At 49.9% G+C, this 13,897-nt stretch overlaps 1 protein-coding gene across 1 annotated transcript; it reads right to left on the minus strand.

Moving 5' to 3' along the window:
- Positions 1-3,435: 3,435 nt before the first annotated feature.
- Positions 3,436-13,888, minus strand: AVPR1B (arginine vasopressin receptor 1B). The gene is made up of 2 exons (NM_000707.5): positions 12,451-13,888; positions 3,436-7,023 (listed from the first exon to the last, which is right to left on the minus strand). Exons 1-2 carry the CDS (start codon positions 13,388-13,390, stop codon positions 6,689-6,691), a joined length of 1,275 nt encoding a protein of 424 aa, NP_000698.1. The 5' UTR covers positions 13,391-13,888; the 3' UTR covers positions 3,436-6,688.
- Between the last annotated feature and the right edge of the window lie 9 nt (positions 13,889-13,897).

Consider the following 13,897-nt stretch of genomic DNA (forward strand, 5'->3'; position numbering starts at 1 on the left):
ACACCTGAGATTTATTAACTGTGCTCCATTTGCTGGCTGTGGATGACCCTCCCAGCCCTGGTGCTGAGAGCATCAGGCAGGCTTTCCTCCTCCTGAGTTCTTCTTCCCCAAGATGATCTAAGGGGATGATTCTGGTTTGGGTTTCTGGGGTTGGAAAATGTTGCTGGCTTGTTTGTCCCTTCACCTTTTAGCTACCACTGTCGTTCCTCTCCTTACAAAGCTTTTTTTAATGGGGTACAACAGAGTCTACTGATTAGACAGGCAGAATGAGGAATAAATACCAAAAATAATAACAGCAACATTGTCCCATCAAGAAGTGAAACTCTACTTCTTATTGATTTCTTCTATTTATTATTTATCTAATTATTTACTTTTAGAGACAGGGTCTCTGTCACTCAAACTGGAGTGCAGGAGTATGATCATGACTCAGTGTAACCTTCAAATTCCTGGGTTCAAGTGATCCTCCTGCCAAAGCCTCTCAAGTAGCTGGGACTATAGGTGCATGCCATGATGCCTAGTTAATTTTAAAAATTGTTTTGTAGAGAGGGTTTCACTATGTTGCCCAGGCTGCTCTTGAACTCCTGACCTCAACAGATCCTCCTACCTCAGCATCCCGAAGCACTGGGATTACAGGCATGAACCACTGCACCCGGCCTGATCTCTTAAAAAAAGGGGGAAAAAATGCCAGGCGCGGTGGCTCACGCCTATAATTCCAGTACTTTGGGAGGCCAAGGCGGTTGGATCATTTCAGGTCGGGAGTTCGAGACCAGCCTGGTCAACATGGTGAAACCCCGCCTCTACTAAAAATATAAAAATTAGCCTGTTGTGGTGGTGCACGCCTGTAATCCCAGCTACTCAGGAGACTGAGGCAGGAGAATGGCTTAAACCGGGAGGCAGAGGTTGCAGTGAGCCAAGACGTGCCATTGCACTCCAGCCTAGGTGACAGAGCAAGACTCCGTCTCAAAAAAAAAGAAAAGAAAAAAAAATTCAAGAGTGTACTGAAGAGATTCAGACAAGTTACATTGCACCCAAGAGACACCGCAGGGACAATGCTGAGACAGCTCCCACCAGGAGAGGGGATGAGAGTAAACAGACTGCCTGCTTTCCGCAGAATTCTGGGACAGGCCTTGGGTGTTGAGAGGAGAGATCAACAAAAAGAAGATTGGGTGGGGTCAAGGCATCTATGACCTAATTGTGGGGACAGGAAAGAGCCAGAGAGCATGTACAAAACAACATGTAAAAAACAATGAACACAGAGCAATGAAACCAGAGCCTATCAGTATTTACACAGATCCGGGGAATAGGATGTTAGAATCAGCCAGCCTTAATCAGAAAAAACATCCCAGAAAGAGGTGATTTCTGACCTCAGTTTAGAAAAAAAGGGCGGAGGCCGGGCGCGGTGGCTCACGCCTGTAATCCCAGCACTTTGGGAGGCCAAGGTGGGCGGATCACAAGGTCAGGAGATCAAGACCATCCAGGCTAACATGGTGAAACCCCGTCTCTACTAAAAATACAAAAAATTAGCCGGGCGTGGTGCCCGGCGCCTGTAGTCCCAGCTACTCGGGAGGCTGAGGCAGGAGAATGGTGTGGACCCGGGAGGCGGAGCTCGTAATGAGCCGAGATCGTGCCGCTGCACTCCAGCCTGGGGACAGAGCGAGACTCCGTCCCCCCCGCCAAAAAAGAAAAAAAGGGTGGAAAATCAACTGATGGGAGAAAAGGCAGGAGGAAAAGGAACAGACCTGACCTGCTGCAGGCTCTCAATAAATGCCTGAGGGGCGGCCCAGAGTGGCACTGTCTGGAGAACTGTCTGTGTCTGGGCTCAGAGGCTGCTGTGATACTCTGGCGCAGGGAGTTGACGTCAGGGAGACCAGAGACCAGAGGCTAGAATGATTGTAGACCATCTGATTAAGCTCTGTAATAAACTCTGCTTCAGAAATATGACATTCAGTAGTGAATATATCATGGAGGTTAACATTAGAACCCACCCTGATTGCTTATTAAGTGAAGGCATTCTTGGAGAGTGCTGTTAGATTTAACAGTTAGATTTAACAGTAGATTTAAACGTGTGACCCTACCAAGTGACTTACAGAGGTTAGAACTTCAATAGTGCACATGACTGCTCAGATGCCCTCATAAGTACAGAGGAAGGCTGATGTCACCTCCTGAGGAGTTTGAGCCAATAAGCTAATAATTGGGGCCAGCTAACAAATTGAACTAATCCTCAAAGTCATTGCAAGCCACGTAGAAACAAAATGGCCTTTTGTTTGTCATATTTCCATGAGCTTCAAGGGTGAGCTGTCTAAATCGGTACAAATAGTCACCTGTATGAGTAACCACCCTTTGAGGAGCATAGCTTCCAGTTCAGTGAAGTCACATTCTCCCACGTTATATGTCATTGGTACCTCCCAGAAACAATCATACTGTTTCACACTGGGTTTCTCCATGGACATGGACTGGACAAAGATTTTTCCAAAATTATCTGATAATAAGACACAGAAAAACTGATTTGCTATTGGCAACCAGTAGATGGTGGATTACATGCCAACAATGACCTAGGAATATAGACCACAGTAGACCATAATAAATGTGACCTGTTTTCAATGAATTCTTATTCTAAAGGAGCAAGCATCCAAATGCTCACCATGGGAACTGCAGCAAAATTCCACGAGCATCCTATTAGCCACCAAGACGTGCTAGGGTGAGGAGGTATTTTACGCTCAACATCAGTGGGTTTCTTTGCTTCTGGAATTGGGACAGATTGCTGGGCTCCGAGGCACTCTCAGAGAAGCCTCCTAACCCATGCCCCCAGATTCTAAACCAGAACCCGTAAAGTAACTATAGCTCATGTGGCTTTTTGAGGTCCTACTAGGGCCCTCAAACACTGACTCATGTGTCTTGCTGCCTTTTGGGCAGGAATTCCTATACTCATTTCCTCACCTTGCAGTAGAAACCTCTTGTTCTTTGCCTTGCCAAATCTCCGTGGGTTTAGAGAGAACCCAGTGTGTGTCCATGTATCTCAGGAGAACCGGGTCAAGTGAGGGACCAAGACTCTTTGGAACTTGAGGACTCACAAGCTAAGAGGCTGGGTGACTTTCCTAGCCTTCCCTGTTAGTCATTACTGCTTCATATCCTCCAGGAGAGTTAAAGAATGTGCACTGGATCTCAGCAATATTTGGCTAGAGAAAGGGCCTTACCCTGATTCTTAGGCAGGAGCTGCCAAGTCAAGCCCAGCGGAGGCCAGGCCCACTTTTGGCTCCACACTGCCACCTTGTGGTCCTATGGCAAACTCGAAGACACTGCTTTTCCCACTTAAACTGGATGCAGGGTGGCCCCTTTCCCCAGCAACCTCACCCCTTCACTCAAGACAAACACACTTTAATTTTATCTTGCACATCCAATTATCATTGTCCCTAGAAAACTAAAGATGCGCAGGAATTTCCTGGATATTAAATCTTTTTATTGGTGAATTTCAACCTGGGTTTCTGACCCAGGAATGAACTGCTACAGCCTGGGCTGAATCTATAGCCCTGTAGTAGATAAGTGATCTATTTACATACAAAACACAGACACATTATCTGGGAAAGTACTGGCCTGTGCCAAACAACATAACGATTCTGAGAAATCCCCGTAGTCAACCGATGAACCCCTCCTGTCCTCCTCTCTGTCCCGTCTGCCCCTCATGTCCTGCTTGTACATAGGTTTTAAGGGACTAAAGTACTGTCATTCACAGTCACAGGATGGCATAAACAATTTACACAAGTGCCCAGCCAGAGACGGCATTGTTCAGTTTCTCCTGGGGTTAGCCGTCAGAAATGGGATTCACCCCAGAGAGCACAGAGCCTCCTTCTTGCTTCCACAGGGCCCCTCCTCCTTGAACCCTATCCAAGGCCCTTCCACTGGCCCAGACTGTCCAGGCGAGCCTCCTACAGGTCCTGCAGAACTTTCACTCATAGATCCGATGAGATCCACCATTTCCTTCAGGAGCTTCCTGGAATGGGTTCCCGAGGCCCTCAGCCAGTGTGCAGTCGCTCCCCACTGTCCATATCACAGGACAGAACCAGCTTTCTGGAAAAGATCAAGTGTAGCCTTTCCATGGGAGGAACAATGAGGGCTCCAAAGCCACCACCCCAAGTAAATTATTCTTGTGCAATGCAAAACAGAAAATATCATAGTAGTAAGAGGGGATCTATAGAAGGCAAAGGGTAGACAAGAAAGTGCTTTAGTCAGCCTTGATCCCAGGTCTGTCTCCTCTTTTCCTCTCTGAACTGTAGACTCTTTTGGGTCAGGACCCTGGAGGTCATCTACCAGATGCAATCTGGAGCCAGGCCATTGTTCCCCTCTCTAACATCTGTTGAGTGCTCTATCTCTAGTCTACAATCTTACAAATCCCTCCCAACAAAGTGGGCATTGCTATTTCTATTTAATAAATGAAGAAAGCATTGCTGGGGGAGATTGGATAACTTGCTTAAGTTGATACAGGTAGAAAAGGGGTGAGATCAAGATGCAAACCCAGGTCTTTGGGGCACACAGCTGGTGTTCCTTCTACCTCCCAGTCATCATGAAGAACAAAGATTTACCAACTCTAGGCATTAGGGTCAGAAACTGTGGTCTAAAGATGGGGCAAGGGGGTGGGGAGGCCGCTTTTGTAAGCAGGGGAAGGAGCAGATTCAACAGCTCTGGCTGGCATGGGAGGCTTCTAAGCCCACTTCACCAGGGCAGATAGACAGGGAAGAAGTATTAGATGTCAGGGGCTGACATGGGCAACAGAACTCAGTGAGAGGGAGACTGTGGGTCCTCCCATCTGCCTGAGCCTTGGTCCCATTAGGGTCTCACTCTCCAGTTCTCTAGCACTGAAGGACTGGGACGCTTTGCTCACTCACAACATTCAGCAAGGCTCTTTTCTTTTTAGAAAGCCTCAGGAGGCTTCTTAGAGCTGAGTGGCCTCTTAAAGAAGTATATCCGCAAAGCCACAGTCATTCCTCAAAGCTTCCCTGGGAGTCAGGGGTAGAGACTGAAAGTGTTCCCTAGAGCTTCCCTCAGGAGCTCTTAATTAGATTAGTAATTCCTTACGTTAGTATAGAGCTCATGACTTTACAAATGACTTTTATATCCACAGTCCTATTTGATTCTCAGAACCAAGCTAGCAAGGACTGGCCAGCATTTTATTGATGTGTGTCATTGGTGGTGGCAGAACCAGGATGCAGCTTTGCTGATGTTTCAGCTGATGTCTTTTCCACCAGCAAGGCTCTCTCTTCAATTGGAATCAGAATTGGGTTGGGGAAGCTATGCCATGATAAAAGTCCCCTGGAGATAATGAGCATGTGCCATGCTCTTCCTCTACCTCGGTCTACCTTGGCCTGCAGCCTCTCCCAGCCTTGGAGGAGGATTCAGCATCCCAGATGAGGACAAAAGTGGACAGTATGGCCATGGTGGGACCCACCGTCACCAGAATTGAGTCAAAGAGTATATCAATGCCATTGTCATAAAAATGCAACAACTCTTCTAGACCCTGTTGGTTATAATATCCTTTGTGTTTCTCTGTAACACCATTTCCAGTATTGCAGAGTCATGGAAGGTTGGAGTTTAGAGATCATCTCACCTATTACACAGGTGAGGAGACTGGGTCCTGGAAAGGGAGAGTGACTCACCCAAGGTCACACAGATACTGAAGGCAGAGCTGAGATTCAAACCCGGGCTCCTAACTGGATCACAGCATCCATATGGTTCATGGTGGAAGCTCTGAAGAGCCTGGAGGGTGTCCAGAGCCATGATGATGTCACCTTTTCTCAAAGGAGGTCTCCTCTGTGTAGCCCCCGGGGAAAGAGCAGGCTGGATTCCCTGGGGGGTGGGTTGGGGAAAGGAGGGAGGGCCACAAGTCCCTGCTGCCCTTGAGGCTTATTCTTGCTGTTAATTTTATGATGACCATTTTCATCTTCTCCTTCCCTCCCTCTTTCTTCCCACCCACACTGACAGTGGACCAGACCACAGAGAATATACAACACTTTCCCGTCATCCACGCTGTCATGGGGGGTGGCACGAGGAGAAGAGGGACTGGCATTTGCAGAGTTCCTGCTAGGTACCAGGTACTATACTGAATCCTGCATCTCCATGAGACCATCTCCCTTCAACAGACAGCTGGGCACAGCAGGGTAATCCCTACATATCCATTCACTTTTCTTCATGAAGCAATTTTCTCTCTAACAACAACAACAACAACAACAAATCCAGGATCCAAATAGAGTCCTCCTCACGGTTTTTCACTTCTCCCCTCTCCTGGTTAGGCTGAGATGTGCCAGTCAGGTTAGAATGGAGACAGGTAGCCAGGGCACAAGGCCAGCCTCTGAATTCCTGCCACCCGTGGACCCCTAGACAGCACCATCCTAGGCCTGCCTAGATCTGGGACACCATGTGTGCATGGACACCCTATGAATATGGCAGGACCAGGGAGACAGGCAGTTTGATTCTCCCTGACTGCCAGTGTCTGAGATTGGGAGCTTATGAGGCAGCCCTCACACTAGGGGCAGCTGTGACACCAGGGTAGGGGACCCATTCTGGCCTTTTCGCTCCGCTTTAGACAGGGCTCCTCTAACTCCAACCCTTACCCTCCCAGCTCTCATTTCCAGTGCCCGAGGTGGGCAGAGAACCTCCACTAGTCCTGGGGGCAGTACCAGACCCCAGCGAGTCTTTCCTAAAAGATGATGGTCTCAGCGGTGCCTTCCCCATCTGCCAGCTCCAAGTCCCTTGGTGACTCTTCAGGCCTGGGCCTCCCACTGAGGGTTAGGCTGAGGCTGAGGCTGAGGGTGGCCGGGCAGCTGGAGCGGGTCAGCAGCGTGGTGTGGCGGCTCGAGAGGCTGCCGTCGGAGAGCCGCCGGCGCATCCTGGGCTGGGGACCCCCACAGCAGGCAAGGTGACGCAGGGGCCGCGGTAACAGGTGGCTGTTGAAGCCCATGTAGATCCAGGGGTTGCAGCAGCTGTTGAGGTTGCCCAAAAGCATAGAGATGGTGAAAGCCACATTGGTGGAATCTACCAAGAGAGAAGCATGAGAAGCCTCAGAATGGCAGCTCGAAGGGACCTGGGAGAGCGTCCAGGCCCCACAGATGAGGAACAGATGAGGAAACTGAGTCCTAGAGAGGGGAAAGGAGTCACTCAGTGTCCTATAATTAGAGAGACACACACAGCTGAGACTTGAACCTGGGACTCCTGGCTCCAGAGTCTTACCATGCTGATTTTGTTTGTTTGTTTTTGTTGTGTAACTGCAGGGTGAAGGTAGGAGCTGAGGTTTCCTTCAAGTTTAATTGAGAAGAAGGAATGTTGTCAGGGATAGGATCAGCCCAGATAGGAGAAACTGACTTTATTCCAAAACCTAGACCTTGAGTCCCCTAATGGCTGTAGACCTAGAATGAGACAACTTCTGTAAAACAGGCAGGGAAAATAACCAAGCTCAGGCCCCGCCCATCTCCATCCCCACTTACATTATACATCATGGATTCACATGGCCTCCTGGACTCTGTCTCCTTCTATCCCTCAGGGGCAGGCCCACTCATTCTATATTCAGTCATTGAGTGTGTGGGCATCGACTCTGCCTGACTCTATGCTGGGGACCTGATGGGGCAATCAATGGAGCCTGACTGCCCTATCGACACCTATGCCATCATTGCCCCCTACAGCCAAGGGGGCAGCTTTTACATACTGGGCCTCCAAGCACCCCTCTCCAGACCAGAACTTGTTCTGTGTTCTTAGATTGTGCCTAGGAACTGTACCTTTCTGCAGGGAAAAACTAATTTCTCTCTTGGGCAGTCAAAATGTGAGGATGCCAAGGCTATAAGATTCCTTCCAGACAAAATATTCTTTCTAAAGACTAAATGAAACCCTCATGTCAGCAGGAAAGCTGCTAGGATGAGCTTTGGCCTCCTGCTGGATCTGTCATGGTTATAGCCATGGCATAGGTGGCATACTGAGTCACCTCACTCTTCAGTGGAGGTTGTAGAATCATTGAAAGCAATTTCAGAACTGGAAGGAACCTTAGAAGTAAGCTTTCTAGTTTTTATAGCACAGTTAGTAAGAGCTGCAACTCGAAGTCTTTCAGCTCTAAGGTAGAGATCCTATACTCCACCAGAGCTTCAACCAGTAAAATAAAAGGCAAAGCTCAACTGCCTACTCTGCAAAACACTGTGAAAGCTTCAGATGCACAGGCTCTTTGTGCACGTGTCCCAGGGGCATGCTCGTGGATGTGGCAACTCATGGCTCAAGAGAAGGGAAGACATAGGCCGAGAACATTTGATAGAGAACATGAGTCATAGGAGTGGGAAGCTAAAGGTATCTGGGCCTGGATGGACTGGTTCAGGGAACAGAAGTGAAGGTAGAGTGGGAAGCACCTGGAAGTAGAAGAGGGATGATATGGTTTGGATGTCGGCTGGGCGCAGTGGCTTACGCCCGTAATCCCAACACTTTGGGAGGTCGAGGCAGATGGATCACCTGAGGTCAGGAGTTCAAGACCAGCCTGGCCAACATGGTGAAACCCTGTCTCTACTAAAAATATGGAAAATTAGCCGGCTGTGGTGATGTGCACCTGTAGTCCCAGCTACTTGGGAGGCTGAGGCGGGAGAATCGCTTGAACCCGAGAGGCAGAGATTGCAGTGAGCTGAGATCGCGCCATTGCACTCCAGCCTGGGTGACAAGAGCAAGACTCCATCTCAAGAAAAAAAAAAGAGAGACAGGGAGAAAAAGAGTTTGGATGTTTGTGCCCTCCAAATCTCATGTTGAAATGTAGCCCGCAGTGTTGGACGTGGGCCTGATGGGAGGTGATTGGATCACAGGTCAGTTGTTTCACATGAGATCTGGTTGTTTGAAAGAGTCTGGGACCTCTCCCTTCTCTGTCTTGTCCTTTCTCACCATGTGATACGCTGGCTTCCCCCTTCACCTTCTGCCATGATTGGAAGCTTCCTGAGGCCCTCGCTAGAAGCAGATGCCGGCACTATTCTTCTTTTTAATTTTCTTTTTGAGACAGGGTCTCGCTCTGACCCTCAGGCTGGAGTGCAGTGTGTGATTATGGCTCACTGCAGCCCTGACCTCCTGTGCTCAAGCAATGCTTCTACTTCAGCATCCTCGGTAGATGGGACCAGAGGGGTGAACCAGTGTGCCACCATGCCTGGCTAATTTTTTTTATATTTAGTAGAGATGAGGTCTCACTGTTTCCCAGGCTGGTTTTGAACTCTTGGAATCAATTGATCCCCCTGCCTCAGCCTCGCAAAGTGCTGGGATTACAGGCATGAGCCACCACACCCAGCCTGGCACCATGCTACTTGTATAGCCTGCAGAACTGTAAGCCAAAGTAAACCTCTTTTCTTTATAAATTTCTCAGTTTCAGGTATTCCTTTATAACAATGCAAATGGACTAACACAAGGGACAAGCCCCCAAAACAAGCTCAGCCTTCCTTCCGTTTTGCCTGGTTTCTGGCCTGCTCCCTAGTTAATGTGTAACTACAAGTTGCGGAAGATTTGGGAAGTGGCTTTGGCTGAGGGGACAGTATTCATCCTGTCTGCTCCATCGATGTGCATTTAGTGTCCAGATTAAGCCAGGGACAAAGGAGTTCCACAGGTTCCTTCATTTAGGAAGTGCCTGTTTGGTTTGGCTCACGTGAGCCAGGCCTTGGTAGGGGCTGGAGACGTGCCACAGAGGAGGTGCTGCAGAGCAGGTGCCAGAGGCAGTGGAGGCTGTGCTTCCCAGCCCTTGAGGGTGGATCTACCACACCCAGTCCTGGCCTCCGTTGCCTCCTGCCAGAAACTCAGCTGATGGTCGGGGACAGGGGCAGGGACAAGGAAACAAGCAGGCTCTGACCAAAGACTTGGGGCTAGGGGGCAAACAGGCCGGCATGCAGAGGAGGGGAACTGTGTGTACTGGAAAGCAAGTTTAAAGTAATGAATTTCTCCCCCAAGGGCTTTCATTTTTCTGGGAGCACATTGTCTGTAAGATAACCCTTTGGGACAACCCACTGTCCCATGCATTCCTTGCCCAGAGAGGTCCTTGGTAAGTGGTGAATCACTCTACACAAGTGAGGGCTGAGGTGTTGAGGGACAGGTTGATGATGATAGTTGATACTACAGGCAAGTAGGAAAGTCTGCACTGGCTGAGTGGCAGGAGCACCATCTTCTCCTCAATAAAGAGGCAGATGACCATCTCACCCCGGTGCCACTGGCTATGCCACAATGTTGGGAGTAAAGCCATGACCTGGATGAAGCTTGGCCCATAAAGACCTCAATTCAAGCCCAAGCTCTATCTCTCACTAGCAGTGGCATTTTGGACCAGTTATTTTGCCTCTATGAGTCTCAGGTGACTCAAATTTAAAATACAGAAGGCCACTCCTCAGTAGCATGAGGGCTGAATGTGCCTGTGCCTAGGAAACCCTCCTTCCTTCTATTCTGTGCTTGGCTAGAGCAGGGAGGTCCCTACAGTTGGCTAGAATTAATTAGAATTGCTCATTGCTTAAAGGATAATCTGCAAATAATCTCTTGCCCAGACGATGTCAAAAGGGCGATTAAGAAGGGATATTGTATTAAGAAGGAAGTTTGGTATTACTTTTGCACGCCTCTTGCATGGTTGTATTAAATTCATGAATGGCTCTCCTCTATTTCATCTCTCCAGAAAAGCAAAGCATTTGGCTTAAGCACGTCCTGGGATGAGCAAAATGAGATCAGAAACAACAATACAAAGGAAGGGGACCACTGGTGGGAATTGGTGGCCTGAGACTGCTGCTTAGTGAACTCTCAGGAAGCTTCCAGAGGAACCTGTGCACAGGGCCTGCCTAGGACACTTGCAGGTGTTACCCACTATACATCCTGAGCTGTGCACACTATGAGATGCACTGCAGGGCACAATCACCCCTCTTCATAGCCACCCAGACAGGTCAGCATGCACTTGTCCTCATGCCTCACTCCTGCTTAGGGGAGCAGGAGCAGCTGTTCTGAATACTGCTCTCCAACACTTAGGCTGCCTAGACACAGCCCCTGCCTTCCTGAGAACAAGTTCACCTCTGGACGGCCAGACCATCAGGCACTGTCTAAAGCTCAGGAGGACACTGTCTACTACACCCCAGAAAAATGATGAGAGCCAGGCCTCCCATGTGCCAACTGTAGCACAGTCCTCTTAGAGGTTCCCATGTTGTTTTTCACACAGGAGAAAGGTCTCCCTCCTTTTAGAACCACTTTTAAAATCAGGGTTATTAATGGGGTTGAGGAAAAAGACAAGGAGACAGAAGACCTGGGCTTTATTCTTCACTTTGTCACTCCCTAGCTGTGAGGCCTGGGGCAAGTCATGGTTCTGAGGCAGGAAAACAGCAGAGGGAATTAGAGGTTGGATAAAAAGCAGAATGAGTAGGAGCAGAAGCAGGATAAAGAGGAGGGTGAGCAAGAGGCAAGATAAGAAGCAGAAGCTGAGCCAAAACAAAAGTTATATGAAGTGAGTCAAGAGCCCCCATGGTTGGCTAGATTCAGACCAATCCAGTAAGGGGCAGCTCCTCAGAGATGGGCATGTATATTAAAGAGAAAAAGTATCCCTAAAATGACCCCATATGAGAATCAGCTCATTAAAGCTCATGCATAGGTACTGCATAGCATGCATGCACTTAAAATTATGAGATGAAGGTTACGTGCAAGTGCACAAGGGCCAAAGTAACTAAGCAACCTACCTATCAATCAAAAGCCAGATGCTGGTTAAAGATTAGGCAGCTCGGGGAAGAGAAAAAAAAAACACATAAAAAGGCCCAAAGTACACCAAACTGACGCCGATCTCATTTCACAGAGCTTAGCCCACTCTCCCCTCTCCGAGAGTGTTACTGTGCTTAATAAACTTTTGCTACTTTGCTATTTGTGTGTGTCACATCCAATTCTTTGTTCGTGGCACCAAGAACCTGGGACTTCACCACATCAGCTGGTAACAGTTCCTCTCTGAGCCTCTGTTTCCTCATTAGTAACATGAAGAGGTTGAACTGGAAATTTCAGGGTTTTCATGTGCCAACCCTAATTAACTGGAAGTGTCTGTTGAGAAGGAGCTCAAAGGCATGTCCAGGTGCAGGAGGGACAAGGCTGAGAGAGCAAGTTCATGGGCCACAAATTGCTATCATTCTATGATTTTAAAGCCCATCTAGCAAACTAGTAGTTGGTGGCCAAATGTGCTAATGGTCATATTTCATTAGTACCACCTAGTATTTTAAAATTGTTAGTTACCAAAATTTTTAAAGCTGGAAATTTCACGTAAAAGATACTGACATGGCATCGGTAGGCTGAATGGAAATCATAACTGCCCCTTTTCACTTGGAGCAGGCACCATCTTCCTTCATTGCCCCACTAGTTTGTCACCTGCCTGGCCCTGGGAGGCATTGTAACCCTGACCTAATCCCCCATCCTCTCTTTCTGTCTCTCCCACCTCACTGCCCCCACATAGACCCCACTTGCCTTCATCAGGGGCATTCTTGTCCCACACGGACCACATCTGGACACTGAAGAAGGGAGCCCAGCAAGCGATGTAGGCCAGCACGATGACAAAGGTCATCTTCACTGTTCGGATCTTGGCCCGTGAGATGGTGTTGATGCTGCTGACCCGAGATGGCAGCCCCCGAGTGGTGGCAGCTAAGGTGGAAGGTGAGGGCCTGTCCCAAGTCCTCCAGCCCCCTCCTCCCACCCGCCAGGCCTGTGTCTTGACTTTTAGGTTTTTACAGATCTCATGGCAGATGAGGCTGTAGCAGGCCGTGAGCATGGTCACCGGCAGAACGAAGATAGCCAGGGTGGTCCAGGTGAGGTAGGCCCGTGGCCCCCAAGGGAAGCCGAAGTCTGCCCAGCAGTCCAGCACCCCTGAGCCCTGGATCACCTCCCGCAGGGAAAAAATGAAGACTTGAGGGAGGCTGAAGATGGCGGCCAGCAGCCAGGGAGCAGCGATGAGCAGGTAGGTGGACTGGCCTGGCTGCTGGAGGCTGCGCAGGGGGTGACAGACAGCCAGGTAGCGGTCCAGCGTCATGGCCAGCAGCATGTAGGTGGAGGCAAACATGCTGAGCACCTGCAGGTACTTGACGGCCCTGCACAGGAGGTCGGGGCCCTGGAAGCGGTAGGTGATGTCCCACAGCAGCTGTGGCAGCACCTGGAAGAGCGCCACGGCCAGGTCTGTCAGGGCTAAGTGCAGCACGAACAGGTGCATGCGGGAGCGCTTGCGGCCCAGCTGGCCCAGGGTCAGCAGCACAGCCAGGTTGCCCCCGGTCGCCAGCACCAGGACAGTGGCCAGGACTCCGATCTCCACCTTGGCCAGCTCCTCATCCCGGCCCAGCCAGGGTGTTGTGGCATTGGGGGCAGAGAGGGTGCCCCGAGGGGTGGGGTTGGCATCCCACAGAGGCCCAGAATCCATGAGCAAGGTTTGCTGGGAGGGAAGGATGAAGGGAGGGTGTGGATGCAAGTGGAGAGGTTTGATGGATAAAATGGAGTGGCAGGGGAGGTGGAGAGAAAGGAGAAGCGTTGAGAATGACAGGGAGAAGGCTTGCAAATAGGCGGAAATCGTTCAGAGGACTGGGATAGAGAGGAGGAGGGAGGATGAGATTCGGAAGGAGAAAATGTGACTGGGATCGACCCAGGAGAGGGAGAAGGAGGGGTCAGGAAGATGGGGAATCAGGACGGGAAGAATGGGGGACGCTGTGCAGAGTGAGGCTTCTGGGAGGGAAAGAAGGCTGGGGAGGGGCTACCACCCTCCAATCCGCCTCAAATTCTCTTTCTCCAAACTTTTCTGGAAGCCAAGAGCGGAAGCCCTTCAGCCTGCTTGGAGGCGCGGTCCGGGGCAGTCGGTGTCGCGCTCAGGGCAGGAAGCCCCAGCCAAGCCCGCTCGCTCTGCCTGGTGAGCAGCGGCTGGAGCGCAGCGGCG

The sequence above is a fragment of the Homo sapiens genome, chromosome 1, assembly GCF_000001405.40.
Source record: "Homo sapiens chromosome 1, GRCh38.p14 Primary Assembly".
Lineage (NCBI taxonomy): Eukaryota > Metazoa > Chordata > Mammalia > Primates > Hominidae > Homo > Homo sapiens.